This window comes from Homo sapiens, chromosome 17 (assembly GCF_000001405.40).
Source record: "Homo sapiens chromosome 17, GRCh38.p14 Primary Assembly".
In the NCBI taxonomy this organism is placed as follows: Eukaryota; Metazoa; Chordata; class Mammalia; order Primates; family Hominidae; genus Homo; species Homo sapiens.
In genome coordinates, this window is record NC_000017.11 from 8,469,024 (window position 1) to 8,488,129 (window position 19,106).

Below are 19,106 nucleotides of genomic sequence, written 5' to 3' on the forward strand. Positions count from 1 at the left end.
TGAGTGAATAAGAACTATTAAGTAGGATCCATTGTCAAACATTTCTCTATTAATCTATAGACAGGAATATCTGCTGTTAGTTCCTGGAGATTTTGTCCTGAGCTGAGTCTCCAGGGACACTCGCGGTGGGTGTGTGCTGTGCTTGGCTGAGCTGCAGTGCTTGAGAGGACAATCCTAAGCCCCTTGTTGATGTGCAGCAACTTCATCTTCTTTCCCAGCCCTCATTGGAAGGATTGGATTAGATGAGAGGTTTCAGCATTTAGCCGACCTCTTTATGTAGGAACCCCAACTAAAACACAGCAAGCAGGGCTTTCACTCTGGTTAAAGCACAGTTGATGTTTGGAGCCCTGAATCTTCATCCCTGGCTCCCCAAATGATTTCTCACTTCCTTTGCATCTGAACACCCTGGGCTCCTCTTATCCAGACTGTTCTGCCAATTGCTGGTCACTCAGTTGATAGCTGGAGGAAGGGCCCTGGCTACAGGGGCCCACGTGTCATCCACTGCATGTCACCACTGCTGTGGGTCCAGAAGAGCCTGGGCTAGGTCCCTGGAGGGGTAGCAGCGTGCTGTTGGGCTTATTTCTGATCCCTTTGGGAAGAGACTTTCACTTTAAAATTAAAAAAATTTTTGTCCTAGCCAGTCTAATTTAGCAGTGGGGGGTTATATACCAACTTTAGTGACTTTTTTTTTTTTTTTTGAGATGGAGTCTCGCTCTGTCGCCCAGGCTGGAGTGCAGTGGCGTGATCTTGGCTCACTGTAACCTCCACCTCCCGGGTTCCAGCGATTCTCCTGACTCAGCCTCCTAAGCAGCTGGCGCCCGCCGCCATGCCTGGCTAATTTTTTTTTTTTTTTTTTGTATTTTTAGTAGAGGCAGGGTTTCACCATGTTGTTCAGGCTGGTCTTGAACTCTTGACCTCAGGTAATCCACCCGCCTCGGCCTCCCAAAGTTCTGGGATTACAGGTGTGGGCCACCGTGGCTGGCCTTAGTGACGTTTTTTTTGTGGCTCTAGCAGCTCTTGGCAAATGATCCCCCGTGAAGAAAGCAGCCAACTCCCTGGCTCATCTCCCGCTTTCTGTTTGGACTGTGGGGTGTAAGATGCTACTTTGGACATGGTCAGAGAGAGCATCTGCCACCTGGCATGAATGCCGCTACGTACCGTTTGCCTGTCTAGCTGAAGAGTGCCTCTGGGTAGAGTGCCTCTGTGTGGGTTTTCTTCCTGGAGCTGCCGGGTACCTGGTTTTGCATGGCTCTCCATGAAACCTCGGGAATGAGCCTTCCTTGAGCCGCATCTGTGTGCCGTTCCTCCCTGCTGGTGGGGCTGATCTCCCGGGTGGTGGACAGCTTCTTGCCTCCAGGTGTTTTCATTTCAGCCGCTCAGTCCTATCCCTTGCTCCCAAATATTGTCTTACAAGAGAGTAGTAGCCAGCGCTCCACTTCCTTCAGCCCAGAGTGGCCAGAAATGATCCCTGACCAACGCAGCTGAGACCCAGGAGCCAAAGCTGGGACCTTGAGTCACAGTGAGGCCTGCAAGAACTATACAGAGGTGACCTGAGGACAGGACACAGTGCTCTGACCTCAGGTGGCAGAAAGGACAATGGGCCCGGGTTTGAGTTGACTGAGCTTGCACGGCTAATTCATGGTGAAGCCAGGCTTGGGCACGAGCCCAGTCTTTTTCTGCTGTGCCTTTCCAGACTTGAGGCCTCACTGGCCTTGACTCCCACGCTCTGTCCTGTGCCTTGGGAGAGGAGCAGGTTTTGAAGGCTTGGAAATGACGAGCGGCGGGGCCGGCACAGCCTTTGTAGCAGGAGGAATCGGTTCACGTAGCCTTCCTCCTGTGCCCGCTGCGCATGCTGACTCCGCCTTTCTTGGCAGCTGCCCCGGAGATGCCACTAGTGCGCATCTCCTGAGAGCCAAGGTGGAAGCTGGCACTTCTGGGAGAGGGGAGGCATCCTGGGTGGAGCCACGGCTTTAGGGAGCACCCGGTAGCCAGCTCTGCCCCCTCCCCGACTGTAACAGTGTTGTGCCTTGTCTCGTGTGTTGGTGATACAGCATTCCTGAAAAGCAGATTCCAGTGAGGCTCCACAATTTCCTTCTAAGCTGCTGATGCTCATTCTGCAAGTTTTTTGTTGTTGTTGTTTTTTTGAGACAGATTTTCGCTCTTGTTGCCCAGGCTGGAGTGCAATGGCGTGATCTTGGCTCACTGCAAGCTCTGCCTCCGAGGTTCAAGCGATTCTCCTGCCTCAGCCTCCCAAGTAGCTGGGATTACAGGCATGTGCCGCCATGCCCGGCTAATTTTGTATTTCCCATTCTGTAAATTTTGATGCTGTGCTTTATCGATCTTTCCAGGAGTCGGGCAATGACACCATCACAGCTGCGCCTACTGACAGTGATTGTGAGATACAGGAGATGTGGCCCACGTGAAGCTGGGGGTGCCTTGGCACCTGTGCAGTATGGCACATACTTGGGAGAGGCAGCGCTCTGCATGGGGATCTGTGAGACCCAGTTTGTCGGTTATGTCACGTTACCTCTCGAATAAGGCTTTGTGACATCCAGTCAGCCGGAATGGAGCCTGTTACTGGGCTGCTTAGTCTCAGTAGGGGTTGAAGTCCGGGGCCACACTTTCTGCCCAGCTTACAGGCTCTGTAGCTATAGTGAATGCCTTTGAAAAGCAGTAGCATGATGGACTTACACCCTTTCAATAGCTTCATATAAGATTCCCAACAAGAATGAGGTACTTCACAATCTGCTTGATTCCCAAATGGCAGGTGCCTACAGAAGGAAGTGGACTTCTCTGTCTGGTCCTGACAGCTGACTTAGGACGGCATTTTGGCAAAAACTCAACATCTGGGAAAGCTCTTGGTGCAGATGTTGTCCCCGAAAGGTGGAAAGGGAGAGGTCCTTTCTTGCATTCCTCCCAGAGACTGGGAAGCCTGTGTGGGTGGGGCCTCGCAAGGGGAGACCTGCCTGGAACTCAAGGGAGAGGAGTCCTCACCACTTCCTAACGATTCCAACCTGGAGCCTGTTCTGGCTTTTTTCTTTTTTTGGGAGTGAAGGAAGAGCAGGAAGGTGTGGTTTGACAACAGTGAGCTCTCTTCTCCAGTCTTGATGTGGACATGTCTGTCCCTCAGCAGCACCGGCCTCTGGGGAGAAGGGCCCTGGGTCGGTCATACCCAGAGCCATAGAAAGGGCTGGCTAGAACAGCTTGGCCTTACGGCTCACAGTTCATCTTAGCTGAGGTTTCCTGGGACAGGAAAAATTGGTGACACAAAGATGTGACAAATCTATAGCCTGATGCCATCAGGAATTGGAAGTGTCCCCTCAAGCCAGCAGGCTAGAAATAGGTGTTAGCTGGGCATGGTGGCTCACACCTGTAATCCCAGCACTTTGGGAGGGAGGCCAAGGCGGGACGAATCACGTGAGGCCGGGAGTTCAAAACCAACCTGTCCAACATGGTGAAACCCCGTTTCTACAAAAAAAGAAAATACAAAAATTAGCCAGGCCTGGTGGCGGGCGCCTGTAATCCCAGCTACTCGGGGGGCTGAAGCAGAGAATGGCTTGAACCCGGAGGTGGAGGGTGAAGTGAGCTGAGAGCATGCCACTGCGCTCCAGCCTGGGAGACAGAGCGCGACTCTGTCTCGGGAAAAAAAACAAGTTGTTATCCTTCCAAAGCAGTTTAAAAATAGTCCACTGGAATGGCTGCATTAAAGAAAATAAATAAAAACAACAACAAAAACTGGCATCTATGATGTGGCAAGGGCAGAGCGCTTATGGCCCTAAACGAAGCCCCGGCACTGCCTCATGTCGTCTAGACCCAGGCTCAACGAAAGAGCAAGCCTTTCCCAAGTCTTGCCTGAGTTCCTCCTCACCGGGAACCACACTGCTGCTGGGTAGAAGCTGACCAGCTTGATCTTCTGATACACTCAAAGCCCAGCTGCCATAAACTGTCTTCCTTGTGCTCTGAATGCCCAACGAAGGTTGTATAAACTACCTTTCCTTAGGTCTGGAGTGTCGGGTCAGTCAAGAAGGGACCCTTTTAGTTATTAAATAGTATCTTTGCAGAATCAGGGCCTGGAATTGGTTCACACAGATTGTTTCTCCTGGCACGCTGAGTAGTTGGGAAACTGTGACGTGAACACCAGTTAGATCAGCCAGTAGGGAAGAATTCTTTTTTTTTTTGAGACGGAGTCGCCCTTCTCTGTCACCCAGGCTGGAGTGCAGTGGTGTGATCTCGGCTCACTGCAGCCTCCACCTCCCAGGTTCAAGTGATTTTCATGCCTCAGCCCCCCAAGTAGCTGGGACTACAGGTGTGCACCACCACACCTGGCTAATTTTTGTATTTTTAGTAGAGACGGTGTTTCACCATGTTGGCCAGGCTGGATTCGAACTTCTGACCTCAAATGATCCACCTGCTTTGGCCTCCCAAAGTGCCGGGATTACAGGCGTGAGCACCATGCCCAGCCCAGAGTTCTTACTTTTTGAGAAAAACAAGCCTCTGAATTCTGTACACTCTTGGATAAGATACTGGATGTGGGGGTGGGAGCCCTGCTGAAGCACCATACCTGTGACTCACCTTTCCTCTCCTATGGTAGTGGCACAGGAGGAAGAGGGCACTTCGGCCCATTTCACACGTTTCTACTGCTGCCAAGAAGCCTAGTCATAGACCCCTTACCCCCAGAACCAGTCTAACCGGAGAATATTATGGAACAAGAAATCGGCATTCTCTGTTTGATTCTGTGCTGCCCTAGTATTTCTCTCATCCTAGTTGGCCCGCACTAGAGAGGCTGCCCTTGGCCTCATCACTGAATCCTCCAAAAGCATCTTCAATGCGTGTCTGCCTGAAAATGCAGCCTGAAATGTCCTGGACCCCTGAAAATGTCCTAACCCAGCAGTGAGCTTCATTGGCTGGTGACCAGAGCCCTCCTAAATCACTCCCTTGACAGGTGGGCCAGCTCCTGCCTTTGGGTGGTCTTTCCCTTCCTAGTGCGTGTGCATCCTGTGAGGCACTGGCAGGAACAAGAGTTGGAGCCAGGACTGGCCTGAGAATTATTCTGTCGTCTGACCTGGGAGACAGCGCCCTCAGCAAAAAGGGCCTGGCGCCATCATTTGAAGTTGGTGTGTAGCACCCACCCTCCAGTCAGATCACAGATGGGAAATCGAGAACAGAAGGTGAGAAAACAGATTCCACGTTCACATGATTATTCTTGTTTATTGAGGTCTCTTTATTCTCCACGGGTGCTTTTTTCTTCAAGTAAACAGAGCAGGCGCAAATATCTATAATGAATAAATTTATTGTCTTACAAAAATCATTGTCTAGAAATATGGGAATACAAGAAAAGATATTTGCGGTCAGGTGTCTGGTGGTCAACAGCCAGTACAGTTCATAAAGGGGGAAAATCCAAGATTCCAAACCCACAGGACAAATTCTTCCTAATAGATGTTAAAGCTTTTAACCCAAAAGGTTTGTGTTTTCAAGCACATTGCAGAGGATCAAGGATTTAGAATTAACACTGATTCATTGTCACTGAATGTCTGTAATACCACTTTGACTAGAGAGGTACATGATATGAAGCACAGTCAAAACTGAATACATTAAATTGTTATAGAGGCGAATGATATATTCAACATTGTCTTAGTACTGTAGTGTCTAAGGCACTTTCCGTAATGTCAGTTTGCTTAACTACCAACCAAAAACAGGATGCTAAGTGTTCACTGTAACACTGTCCAAAGGGAAGGGAGAAGGAAAAATGAAGGAGTCACACCCACTGGCATGTCAACATTCAGGAAGATGGCATCTGTTCTGGAGGCTCCATAAACCTCATTGACAAACTTGGAACAAGCCTCGGACACAAAACCAATATTCCCATTTTGGGCTCAAAGCAGCGGCTGAATTTGCAAGGTCAGCATGAGGGCCCGGCTGGCGATGGGGAGGGGCCTTCCACCAGCTCGGCTTAGGGGTCCACGGCTGCTTGCTCCTGACGTGAGGAGGGCGCCGGCAGAGCCAGGCGGTTCGGGAGACCATCTGGAAGTCTACATGATCCATGGCTGCCACCTGGGGCCTCAGCTGCAGTGTGGCCACTATCCCTTCTATGCACAGACCAGCCCTCGCCAAGGCCAGTTCACATGAGTAGATGCGGGACACCATCGACTCGAGGGGCAGGGCCCCCCTTGGGGGATGGACATGGTAACCCCAAATGGGTGTTGCTTCCGATCCAGCCCACCCCTCCTACTCTTTCCAAAGCCCCTTTCACAGTTTGCTCACTGAAATAGCATTGATCATTATTTGAAGGAAATGAGAGAGACAAGTGCAGTTTAGAGTCCACAGTGGTCTAGGAGACTTGATGTGGCTGAGGAGTCGGGGGCCACGTGAACACAGAACTAGGTTACCTGTCTGTATGACAGAGAGCATGCAGAGCGACTGAGTGACGACCACGGCGCTGCCCCAATAACCCAGCGACCCGCAACCAAGGGCCTGGAGTTTGTTTTAAAAAGGGTCTTACCATGTTTTATAAAATGGTCTCTTGATGACTATATGGAAAATAGATGCAATGATGAAACAATCTGTTTAATATATGTGTCCTGTGTGTGTCTATATATAAAAAGGGGAGCAATTGTACCTAAGTCTGAAGCAGGATACAGTATGCATAGGCTGGAGAGCCTTAAGACACAGTTGATCTTTCAGGAAGGAATCCCGTAGCTTGCCAATTTCCGAAATCTGCAGGAGGCCCCGGGTGCATTCCTAACTGTCCCACTGTATTGCCTCCTCTGGCTTCCTGCAACTTTACTCTGACTGGGGTGGCTGCGTCTCGTTGACATCACTGGTCTTACTTTCTGTGTCATCGTCGGAGAGCTCCAGGGAAGCTCCTTCAAGGTGCAGCTGGCGCCGGCCAGATCGGCTGGAAGAGAAGCTGATGGGGCCACCCCGCCTGGAGAACACAGGAAGCAGATGTGTGTGGGTAAACAGACAGGAGCACATGGCTGTCAATATGTTCAACCACTCAATGCCACGGAACCTTCCCCTTGCACCCCCTCCTCGGACACACGACCTTGTGGGGGTGGCGGTACGATGGGGAAGGACTGCGTGCTTTTCTGCCTCTCCCACAACCCTGCCTGCAGAGTACGCGAAGCAGGGTCCTTGGAGAACTGGGGAGGACTTGATTCAGCCTAGGACTGTGTGATGGAAATGGTAAGGAAGACGGATTAAGGCCAAGCTCTACCTGCTAACCAGGGAATCAGCCAGATAGCAAAGTGGGCCACATAGGGACTCTGTTGCATATTCTTTGTTTCGGCGTTTTTATAACCATTTAAAAATGTAGAAACCATGCTTAGTTTGATGGCTGTATAAAAGCAGGGTATGCACCAAATCTGCCCATTGGCCAGATGTGCTGAAACCTCCGCCGACCTGGTCTTCTGGGGCAGAGACTTCAGCTGTAGCTCTCTCACGCTCTGCCCTCTCACTGGTACAGAGCAGATCCATTGTGGTGAGGAGGACGGTGCTGAGGAGGGCTGATGGCACCAGGTCCCAGGAGGAGCTCCTGCCCTGCTTTTTAAGAGAGGCTGGGAGCTCACTTCACTAATGGATATCTGGACAGGGATGGATGCCTGACCCAGCTCCAGCCTGGTGTGGTGGATTAGTGTGGTCCTCTAGTGACTGGCAATGAATAGGGCCGCCTCCTCTTTTATTCTCCCCAAGGACGACTATAAAGGTCAGAAATCTTAAATGAAGTGGTTCGGGAGAAAGAATGGGTCACTGGGTATGGATCTAAGTAAACTTCCTCTGACCAGCTGCACCCCGAGCCTAAGCTAACCCACAAAGCAGCTGCCTGTCAGCTCGGGGCCGCATGCCTGCTCACCTCAGCCGGTTCTTCAGGGTGCTGACCTCGCGGCTCAGGCCCTCGTTGGCCTCGGTGGCATCATCCAGTTCCCGCTGGAGTTTACGCCGAGATGCGTTGGCACGCGTCGCTTCTTCTTCTGCTTCCTCCAGCTGGCGTTTAAGCTGCTTCATCCGAGCGTTGGCCTTCTCCATCTTGGGGAGGGTACATGAACCAAAACAAACCAAACTGGTGAATCCAGTGTCGGCCTCTCTGTACCCCGAGCGTGGCAGTGTGGGGCTCTGCCTGTTACCCTTGTGAGCACGCGTGTACACGGATGTACACGCGTGCCTGGGGGCTGGTCGGAGGCTCTGTAACCGGCCTGCCGCTCTCAGCAAAGCTAGCATCTACAAAGCACACTAGGCCAAAAGAAATGAAAAAGTACTCAAGACTCTGTTTTTACCAGTGAGTTTTCTGCAGAAAAATGACAGCGTTTACTGTCTTCACACACGTGACCTAGGGGACTGAAAGGGAATTGCTATTCTTGCAAAACGTGGAAGAACCAGCAATGTGGGACAATCCCCAGCCCAGAAGATGGTACAATGCATCTTTACACCTCCTTTCAAGGATGGGCATCTCAGATACTAGACTTGGATTCAAGCAGAAAGCCACCCTGGGATGACATGCCACAGAACTAAGAGCCTCCCTTTTGGACCCTTCATTCCTGAGCCACACAGGCACTGGTCAGTGCTTCGTGGGTCCAGCGCACACCACCCTCAACTGTGCTCCGTGTTGCTAGGCCCCAAGGGTGGGGGTGGGAAGGGAAGGCCAGGTTGCCTGACTGAATGAATGAAGTTGGGGAGGGTTCGGGCCAAAGGCAGTGAAATCCTCAGATCCATCCACCTTTCTGGCCAGTGTCTGCAGTGTGAAGTCTCACCAGGCAGAGGGCAGGGAGCGGGAGGGAGGGTATAGCTGCCCACGCTGCAATCAGGGCAGGCCTGACCCACAGTTCAAAGTCCTGCGGAACATTCCCTGTGTACTTAGAAAAGGGGGCCTGGATGCAGACGCTGAAGCTCACTCGGGTGCAGCGTGCAGTACCTTTGTCTTCCCTTCACTTTCTATTCAGTATCTCCTGTGCCCACCCTACACCCAGCCAGTATCTCATGACTGCCAGCAATATCCAGAAACTATACTAGGCATTAGGGAGATAACAGGGAGCAAAACAGGCAGAAATCCCTGTACTCACGAAGCACACATTCTAGTGGAGGAAGCAGGAGCTTTACAGTTCAGTCCAGGCCTCACTGAACTTGCTTCCTGACCTGCTCTCCCCGCCCTCCTGTGTCTCGGGTACTGGGAGTGCCCACCAGGAACATGGAACAGCCCACGTTAGCTGAAACATCAGAATCGGGAGGGCCCTGAATTCCACTGGTCAGTTGTGCCACCAGCTCATTCTCCACCAGTTCCTTTGCTCACGCGCTTCCCAGGGAGGCACTTCCTCGCGTACCTGCTCTTTATACTGGTCCGCGTGTCGACGCTCATCCTCAACCTGCATGAAGATTTCTTTCAGCTTCTTCTCAGTGCGACGGACTAATTTGTTGGCGGCTGCTCGTTCCCTGTGAAAGTGGTCACAGTAGTTTTGAAATTCTTGAAATGGTATTTTGTGTGGGAAAAAATATTTTTTAAAGCCCCTTTTCTTTGGGAAGATGACACATGGTGGAGGCATTATGGACCTCTCTGTCCAGAATTCATGACTAATGTGCTGAAACCTTTCCTTCTGGTCAAAATCAGAATTGCCTTTAATGTATTCCTCAATAGTGACAGGTAGAATAAGTGCATTATTCCTGCACGTGTAGGTGTTAATTACTGTACACAGGTATTCATCATTGTACTCAGTTATCTTACTTTGTTTGTTTTTGAGATGCAGTCTTGCTCTGTCGCCCAGGCTGGGGTGCAGTGGCGCCATCTCTGCTCGCTGCAACCTCCGCCTCCTGGGTTCAAGCAATTCTCCTGCCTCAGCCTCCTGAGTAGCTGGGATTACAAGGCATGCACCACCACGCTGGGCTAATTTGTGTATTTTTAGCAGAGACGGGGTTTTACTACGTTGGCCAGGCTGGTCTCGAACTCCTCACCTCAGGTGATCTGCCCGCCCTGGCCTCCCAAAGTGCTGGGATTACAGCCGTGAGCCAGCGCACCCGGCCTGTACACAGTGATCTAAAGAGCAAATGTTACATACAATCTACCTGTCAGTTATACTGAACATAGACTTTTGAAGACACCATCCTTAGTTTAATCACCTAAACTTTTAGCCTGAGAAACAACCCAATTTATTAAGTGATTGTTTCACTTGATAATTTACTAATTACCTATTGTGATGTAGAGGGCTTTGGCAGCTCACATTGAAAAAAAACCCAAAAACAAACCCCCTACACTCCCTCTTTGGTTAGAGGTGAAACAAATCCATGTTTCCAGATGCATCTACGTCGTCCCATATGAAGGAGAGGTAACTTATTTGGAGGACTCCATGGAAGACAGAAAAAGTTATTTTGTTGCTTAACAAATATTATGCAAAAGTAGATAGAGACAGTCAGCTGAAAGGGTGTTTATGTTAATTCCAACTAGAAACAAACCCTTAATTGTTTGCTTCAGCCCACTGGAGTCCAAAGAATGGAGTGGGAAGTCCTGGCACGAGAGGCTGGGGAGGATGCAGGGTTCTGGCCGCGAGCCCTGCATTTCTGGGCTCCAAGCTCCCCAGCAAGAGGGTGAATCTGAAGGTCTGCCCTGGCTCTGGGCGCTATGACCTAATAGCTTTGTAATATGCCTGCCAGCAGCTGTACTGTACAATTTCTCATCAATTTCAGAATGCTTTAATACAACAATATGAAAGCTGTTAAGCAATCCCTTCTATGGGGAGAAGAAAGGCTCTGATTTGTGTCATACTGCATTTGTTCTCTGGCAGCAAATTAGCATTTCATGGGCTGCCACACGCTTGGGAAATCGACTTTGGGTAGGAGATGCAAACTCAGGGTGCCTAGGAAATCACGGGGCGCCGTCCTAAAGCCCAGCCTTCCCTGACTGTTCACGGATGCCGTCTGTCCTCCCAGGCTCTGAATGCTCACAGCTCTTCTCTCACAGCTCACACCAACTTCTGTGTCCCACTCTGGTTATATGTGTTCTCTGCCCACGTGGTGGGGAGCCCCCCCGAAAGGGGCATGCCTGTTTTGTCTCTGACTGAGCCTAGTTGGTAAGTTTTGGTTTACGGTAGCAAAAACCTCTTACTTGGCTTCCTGCTCAAGCTGCTCCTCCAGCTGCCCAATCTTGGCCTCCAGGGCTGAGATGGTGGCCTTGAACTTAGACTTGACAGCACCCTCGAGTTCCTGCAGCTTGGCCTTCAGCTCCTTGTTCTGCCGCTCCAGTTGCTGGCGTGCATTGTCACTCTTCTGGGCGGCGCTGCGCTCGGCTGCTAGCTCGGCGTTCAGTGTGTCCACCTAGAGAGGAGAGAGGAGTTTAGTCACTTGTGCCTGAGGGGTGGCACAGCCCTCCCTGGGTGACGGGCTCCTGCATGGGCCACCTGTAGAGTGGTCTTGCGGAAGCGGTCGTTGAGCAGCTCCATGTTGCTCTGCTCCTCTTCCAGCTCCTCCTCCAGCTGTGCGATCCGAGCTTCCAGACGCCGCTTCTCATCCAGCAGCGCGGACCTGGCGGGGAGAGGAGGAGGGGACGGTTCAATCCCAGCTCAGCACAGCACAGGAGCCTCAGGGAAGGCTCCTCCACCCACCCTGTTGCTGGAAACCTGAGCAGCCATCCTGAATTTTCTCTTTCCCCTGCACTCATCCCCAAATCCATCAGTAGGTCCCACTGATGACACTTCCAAACACCCTCCCCCGCTGCCACCACCCAGATGCAGGCCTGTCATCTCTCACCTGGACTGCTGGGTGGCCTCCCGCTGCCCTGCCTGCCTCTCTCCAGCTGTTCTCCACAGACAACAGCCAGAGTCGCTTTCAAAACGCAAGCACGACCCCAGCCTCCCCACCGCTGAAACTCTTCAGTGGTTTCCAATGCACTGAGAATCAAATTCTAACTACTCATGATGGCATGCTCAAAAAGGCGCATGATGGACGTTCAGTTCAGTAATGACTTTTAACGAAAAAATGAATTCAGAGAAAGGTCCTATCTGAGGAACCTGCTTGCCAAAGCTAGCTGGAAAGTGAAGGCCTGCAGTGCCCGTTGGCGCACCCCACGGCTCCCCCCTGCGGTGTGCAGGGCTCAGCAGGACTGGCACGGGTGCAGTGCCCGTTAGTGCACACCACGGCTCCCACCTGCGGTGTGCAGGGCTCGGCAGGACTGGCACGGGGTACCATGGCTGAGGCAGCCCAGGCCCAGCGAGGGAGGAGCAAACCACCCGCTGATGCCAGGTGTGTGGACACCTCCAGCCTTCTCAGCAGTGCGCGTGCCTGAGGGCGAAGAACCCACCCCCGGCCGTGGGAGACTCACTTGCCAGAGGCGCTGTTGGTGATCTCGTCCGCCAGCTCATCTCTCTCCTGCTCGGCGTGTCGGCGGGCTCGCTCAGATGAGGCAAGTTCCTAAGCAGTGGAGACTGCGTTAAGCTCTGGCTGTGAATAGTTTCCTCACCTGTGGAATCTGACAGTGCCTGGAGCTACAGCGACCTTGCTCCTGTCACTGTTTACCTGCACCTCAAGCTGTCATTTAGATTTGAGAAATTAAACTGTCAAGAAAATCTGCTCGGTGCAGGCCAGCCAGGTGGTGTGTGGTGTCAGCATCTGACACAGATGTCCAGAGGAAAGTCTTCATTGCCATAAGGGCTTTGCTGTCACCTCCAACGTAAGAGGTGGCTATGTTCCTGCCCTTCTTGGAAAGCTGGTGCTTCTTAATATAAACTGAGCATGAACTTTATATAAACCCTGAACCCTAAGAAACATGAGCTATACCAACTGATGGCCCTGAAGTATCTTTCACATAAACAGTTTGAGATCAAGGACGCTGGCTGCACAGACCAGTGCGGATCCAGGCAGCTGTGCCGCAACAAGGATCAATGCTCCCATGGAGAGGAGGCAGGTGGGGGCCTCCGCAGGGGCTCAAGTGTTTGCAGAGCTGGGCCTCTAAGGTGGGCAAGGCCTCTTTCTTGAAGGGGACTGTGGCTCCACAGGGGGCTCTCAGAGGACTGGACAATGGGGACAGCCCTGTGCCTGCCAGCCCACGGGAGGAACTGCCTGATGGCTGCTTTTCCACAAACTTCTTTGGAAGGATGATTTGCCATGGAAAGGAGTCAAGGGTGCATTTATCTTATAAATGAGGAAACTGAGGCCCACCTGGATGAAGATACTGGCCCAAAGTCCCAAGGTTAGTCAGCAGCAAAAAGTCAGGGTTCCTACTCCCTGTCCAGGGCTCTTCCCACCAGCTGCCCCTTCCAAAAGATGCCACATTTGGCAAGAGCACACCTTGAAGGTGTCTTAGGAGCAGGGCTGCACGGGAGCTCCTCTGTCTGCTCCAGCACGTGCACCTGCCTTACATGAGTGTAGGCTGAAGGTCCTCTGACAGGCCTGGGTTCTAGCACATCCTGGCACACAGGGCAGGGTGGGAGTCAGGAAGGAAAGAGAGGCAGCTGACGGAATGTTCCAGGCCTGATCCCAGGGCCACTGACTCCAGACAGCTCTACCATCTGGCCTCTGGTGTTTTGTCTTCTTGGGCCTATGAAACACTCACTGTCCACTGGCTTGGGGGTGGGGCTCTAGGCAGACTGAGGGACCCACGGGAGAAAGGAAGGGACCCCGGGGCCTCTAAGCCAGATGAACGGAGGTGTTTGAGGGAAGGAAAAGTGTCAGAAATAGGGGGAAGGGCAGGGCCAGCTTTCCAGCTCAGTCTCTTCTCCCTAATGCAGTGTGAGTCAGGCCTTGCCTGAGAGTCTGAAAGAAACACTTTCAGAAAAAACAGTGTGGTACAGAGAATGCCTCTTGGACACTTGGGTAATGGCCCAGGAGCGCTCTCTAGGAGGCAGGCTCCAACAGCCACATCGCCTTTGGGGAAATGAGCATTTGGGGATCTCACCAATCAACTCCATGATGGATACATAGAGCTTACACATCTACTTCATTGATGAACATGCATCATTTTTAAGTACCCACGGAACACTTATAAAAACTAACGTGTTCTAGGTCCCAGAGCTCTTTCTCAGCATTCTCTGACCACAATGTGATAAAACTAGAAATCAACTTAAAAAACAAGCAAATGCCATACATTTGGAAATTTAAACCGCAAGCTTAAATTATTCACAGGATGAAGAAGAAACCATAATAGAAATTAGAAAAATTTAGAATTACATGACAATGAAATTACTCCACATCAAAATTTGTGGAACATGATGAAAACCGATCTTAGAGGGGAATTTACAGTCTTTTATAAACATATCAGACAAGAAGCTTGAGAGCTGATGAGCTAAGTGTCCAACTCAAGAAGTCAGAAAAAAAAGGAGCAAAAAATGGTGAGATAGAGGACAGCAGGACGAAAACCTCTTGAAGCTGGCTCTCAGGTTCTCTCTCAGGGTCGGCTCCGTGTTTACTGATCTGGTTTTGAGTTCCTTGTTCATTCCTGACACCTAGAGAGCCGTCCTCCTTTCTTGCAAGCTCAACTCTGCCTTTGCTAATATTTTATCCAATATTTATAGGTGTTTGTATTGGGAGTTTTTTCATATTAACTGATAATAACATTTAACTTACCTTTTCAGGTTTGAAGAAATGTTGATTATCCATCATTTATACGGTAATGTGTATATTTAAGTGTGCCTTGCACTGTTACAGTTCCTATATGCAACACTTTATCAGTCTCTGCTTCATGAGAACTTACAAGAAAGATAAATGAAGGAATAACAGGAATTCAATGAAACAAACTTCTCTCCTTTTAAGTTATCACATGAGTAGTGCTTCTGTGTAAAAACAAGGCAATTTTGCATCACCAAGGTTGGAGTTACACAGTTCTTGTGCTTATCAACACTTCCCTTTCCTGCACAGGGGAACAGGCCAAGAAGGTGGCCTGAAAAGCTACTCATCAGCTCCTTTGCCTTTTGCCAGGTAGAGGAATATATGTGAGCAGTGTCGAAGTGATAACTTTCTGTTTCCAAACTGAAGCAACAAGAAGGTTGAGGACCATATTAAAAATGGATACTTAAAAAAATAAAAAACAAAAATGTATACTGACATTACAGTGGGCTACAAATATATTAACTTTTTTTTGATCTTGGAGAAATTTCAAGGGCAAATATATTTGTTGAACAAATGGATAAGTAACAAACCAACCTCCTGCAATTGAAGGATTTCTGCTTCCAGACTCTTCAATTTCTTTTCACTCTCTTTGGATTGAGCAAAAATCTCATCTCTGGATGCACGAGCTTCTTCTAATTCACGTTGGTAATCCTTCATCTGAGCCTAAGATTAAATAAGAAGGTTTTGGGGTGGTTTACATTCTTAGTTTTAGTTAAAATAAAATTTTTTTAGAGATGAGCCCTGGCTGTGTTGCCCAGGCTGATCTCAAACTCAAGGCCTCAAGCATTGCTCCTGATTACAAGTGTGAGCTGCGGTGCCTGGCCCCATTCTTAGCTTGTAAACATGGTATTTTTTTTCTAGATTATAAAAGTAATATACATTCATTGTAAATATAAAAGTATATGGGAATGACAAGGATATCGTAAGAAAACTACAGATCAAAATGAAATCCCTTATGAATACAAATGCAAAAATCTTCAACAGAATAGTAGCAAACTGAATCTGGCAACATGTAAAAAGGATTATACACCATGACCAAGCAGGATCTATCTGAGGAATGCAAGGTTGGTTTGACAACCAAAAATGAATTAATGTAACCATATGATCATCACAATAAATGCTGAAGAAGCACTTGACAAAATCTAATACCCTTTCAATATAAAAATGCTCAACAAGCTATGAACAGAAGGAAATTTCTTCAACTCTGATTAAGGGCATCAATGAAAAACTGACAGCCAATATCATACTTAAGGATCAATGACCAAATGCTTTCCCTCTAAAAGATGAGCAACAAGACAAGGATGTCTGATCTTGCCACTTCTACTTAACAATGCAATAGAGATTCTAGCCAGGGTAATTAATTAGGCAAGATAAAGAAATAAAAGATATCCAGATTGGAAAGGAAGAAGTAAAACTAGTTCAATTTGCAGATGATCTGATATTGTATATAGAAAATCTTAAGGAAGACACTGAAAGAATTAGAACTGCTGGTAATATGGACAGTAAAAGAAAAGAAAGCCCACAAGAACTAATTGATGAGTTTAGCAAGATTGCGGGATACAAGATCAACATACAAACATCAATTATATTTCTATACACCAACTATGAACATTCAAAATAAAGCAATTACATTTATAATACCATCAAAAGAATATAAACTTAGGTATAAAGAAAAAAAGTGAAAGACTTGTATACCAAGAACTACAAAACGTCACTGAAAAAAATAAAAAAGATCTAAATAAATGGAAAGATTATCCATGTTTGTAGACCAGAAGACTTAATATTGTTAAAATAGCAATACTCTCCAAATTGATTTACACATCAACACAATAAACTATCAAAACCCAAGCTGGCTTTTTTTTTTTTTTTTTTTGGTGGCAGAAATTAAGCTAAGGCAGGTGTGGAAATCATTTACTCAAAGAATTTATATCCAGAATACAGAATTGTTTCAACTCAATAATTAAAAGAGAGCTCAGCTGTTTAACCTCATTAGTCATTAGAGAAATAAAAATAAAAGCCACAATGAAATGTCACTTCACACCCACTAAGATGGTTACAATCAAAAGATGGACAATAACAAATGTTGACAAGATGTGGAGAAATTGGAACCCTCATACATAGCTGGTAGGAACGTAAAACTGCAGTGACTGTGGGAAACAGTTTGGCAGTTCCTCAAAGTTAAACACAGAGGTACCATATAACCCAGCTCAATTCCACTCCTAGGTATATTTCTGAGAAAACTGAAAGCACATGTCCACACAAATGCATATGAATGTTCATAGAGGCATTATTCAGAAGTCAAAAAAATGGAAGCAACCCAAATGTCCAACTGGGGGATAGACGAGTAAAATGTGGTAGATGTATCCACACAGTAGAGTGTTACTCAGTAATAAAAAGGAGTGCGGTACTTGTTCATGTGGCTACATGGATGAACTTTGAAAACATCATGCTAAGTGGAAAACCAGTCACAAAAGGCCACATATTGTATGATTCCACTGATATGAAATATGGAACAAAGGCAAATTTATAGAGACTGAAAGATTAGTAGTTGATTAACGCAGGATGCAGCAGGGATACAGGGAATGGGGAGTGACAGCTAATGGGTGGAGGATTCTTTTGGGAGGGACCAAAATGCCCCAAATATGATAGTGGTGATGGCTGAATAAGCCTATGAATAACTAAAAAACACTGAAAACACTAAACTGGCGAATTGTGTGGTATGTGAACTATATTTCAATAAAGCTGTTAAATAAAATCACAGTATTATAGTTTATATTCTTTGTAATTAATTAGCTTAATAACTTTTATAATTAGCTAATAAAAATCTTGAGCCCAGGCTGCAGTGAGCCATGACTGCACCACCATACTTCACCCTGGGTAGCAGACTGAGACTCTATCTCTGGGAAAAAAAACAAAAAAAAAATCTTTATATTTAGCTTCAAAAAAAAAAAAAAAAAAAAAAAAAAAAAAAAAAAAATGGAAACAAGTTCCTACCAACCTATTACCCAGAGATGACTTTCCCTCCAAACTTTTTTCTAGGTATAGTATGTCTGCCTACATGTCTGTATGTGAAAATGTATACACACACATGTGTAGAGTTACAAGTCAAACCGTCCTACACCATATTTTCCTTTATTCATTTAAGTCTGGCCATCATTCCCCACACACCCCATCACTTAGATGGTTAGCAGTCCATTGACATTTAGGGGGTTTCCATTTTTGCTATCATAAATAACAAAACTTCTGCTAAAGATCTTTGTACATAAAAATTTCTTCTTTATATTTTGTTAAATTTTCAAGATGTATCAACAAGGTCAAAGGAAAAGTTTTCATCATTAACGGACCAGTTCCCCTGAGAAGTTGCTCCCATCCATCCTATAGGTGAGGGCCCCCTGCCTGCCTGCTCACACCATGAACTCTTGCAGAGATCACTTCTTGTCATTGTGGTAATGAAAACTGGCACATCATCTGGGTAGAAAAAGTGACGATTAAAACAGACCAAAAAGATCACAAAAGCTACAGCACTAAGGGGCTGGGTCAACATGACCCTCCTCTCGAGGTGAGGAAGGGTGGGTTTTAAGCATCGCCACAGGCTCTCAGGGCCACAGGAGGCCAGCATGATGCCTCCACCCCAACTGTGTTGCTAAGTGCATTCAAGTATCTCCTGTGGACACAGCGGACACACAAGCACTCTCTTTATGGCCTGCTGCCCCACCCCCGGCCACGCTGACAGCGGTGCTGTGCCCCCCAGCTTCACTGCTGGACTCTGTGTAAAAGCCACATAGGTCACGTGGTGCCATCCAGAGACTCCATGGGTGAAGGCACATACCTGGAGCTTGCGGAGCTGCTTAATCACCTCATCCCGAGCTTTGTTCGCAGCCTCGATTTGGGCTTCGAGGTCCTTCAGGTCTATCTCCATCTTTTTCTTTGAAGCTACAGCAAGCGCCCGCTGTTTCCTCTCATCCTCCAGCTCCGCCTCGAGCTCCCGCACCTAATGGACAACATCGGGTTATGCTGGGTTACATCCAAGTATCTGCTCGCAGAACAGGCAGACTGTTCTCAAGTGGGGGGCTCTGGTTACTCGGGTGAGTGGAAACTTCTGTTACTCTGTAGAGGTCTCTGTTACCAAACAGTTACTATCAACAGAAAACCACAGTAGCTGAATTTTGTTCAAAGGGGTCTTTAAACACCACCACCTAGTACAAACCATCCCACTGACTGCTACGAGGGCATGCGAGAAGGCAGCCAGTGACCTGAGCTCGGTGTAGATGAAGCCAAGATGGAAAAACCCAAGACAATACGGTAACCATGTAATAAAGGCTGGGGTAGGCACAGAGCGGGCATGGGGTGGTTGCTAAGAGGTACAGAGGACTAAGCAGGCATTCCTGTTTCCTAGAGCTGTGAGGACATGGGGCATGGCCATGTTGCAGGGGTGTCAGAACCAGGCAGAAACTGCCTTTGATCAGCAGGAAAGGGGGGAGCAGTCAAAGCTGTCCAATGGAGGAGGGACAAAATGAAGGCCTGCT

General features: G+C 48.3%; 2 protein-coding genes and 1 long non-coding RNA gene across 6 annotated transcripts in view, besides 2 other annotated features; 2 read left to right on the plus strand and 1 right to left on the minus strand.

Moving 5' to 3' along the window:
• The window catches only part of NDEL1 (nudE neurodevelopment protein 1 like 1), a 61,198-nt gene extending 55,893 nt beyond the window's left edge, over positions 1-5,305 (plus strand). The window contains exon 10 of the mRNA XM_017025183.2: positions 2,349-5,305. Within this exon, the coding sequence (XP_016880672.1) occupies positions 2,349-2,538 (190 nt within the window). The 3' untranslated portion in view covers positions 2,539-5,305. The remainder of the gene's footprint in view (positions 1-2,348) is intronic.
• Positions 5,189-19,106, minus strand: part of MYH10 (myosin heavy chain 10) — a 156,514-nt gene continuing 142,596 nt past the window's right edge. For 3 of the 4 annotated variants that reach the window (NM_005964.5, NM_001256095.2, NM_001256012.3), the window contains 8 exons: positions 18,410-18,571; positions 15,115-15,243; positions 12,299-12,387; positions 11,379-11,502; positions 11,087-11,295; positions 9,315-9,423; positions 7,853-8,025; positions 5,201-6,925 (listed from right to left, as the gene is read on the minus strand). In NM_005964.5, coding sequence (NP_005955.3) covers positions 6,781-6,925; positions 7,853-8,025; positions 9,315-9,423; positions 11,087-11,295; positions 11,379-11,502; positions 12,299-12,387; positions 15,115-15,243; positions 18,410-18,571 — 1,140 coding nt within the window. In that variant the 3' untranslated portion in view covers positions 5,201-6,780. Of the gene's footprint in view, positions 6,926-7,852; positions 8,026-9,314; positions 9,424-11,086; positions 11,296-11,378; positions 11,503-12,298; positions 12,388-15,114; positions 15,244-18,409; positions 18,572-19,106 lie in introns of all 4 variants that reach the window. The other variant, NM_001375266.1, reaches the window with a different exon arrangement.
• Positions 7,788-8,082: a silencer, noted in NCBI's record as "tiled region #9669; HepG2 Repressive non-DNase unmatched - State 17:Gen3', and K562 Repressive non-DNase unmatched - State 18:Pol2". NCBI's record gives its function as "represses a minimal TATA promoter and a strong SV40 promoter by Sharpr-MPRA in HepG2 and K562 cells {active_cell/tissue: HepG2 | K562}" and the evidence as "EXISTENCE:reporter gene assay evidence [ECO:0000049][PMID:27701403]".
• LOC107987245 (uncharacterized) lies at positions 12,387-17,340 on the plus strand. The gene is made up of 2 exons (XR_001752780.3): positions 12,387-13,165; positions 14,547-17,340. It is a non-coding gene; the product is annotated as an uncharacterized LOC107987245 (long non-coding RNA).
• Positions 18,346-18,846: an enhancer, noted in NCBI's record as "H3K4me1 hESC enhancer chr17:8390687-8391187 (GRCh37/hg19 assembly coordinates)". NCBI's record gives its function as "activates a minimal SCP1, AML or CMV promoter by ChIP-STARR-seq in naive H9 embryonic stem cells {active_cell/tissue: H9 hESC(naive)}" and the evidence as "EXISTENCE:reporter gene assay evidence [ECO:0000049][PMID:30033119]".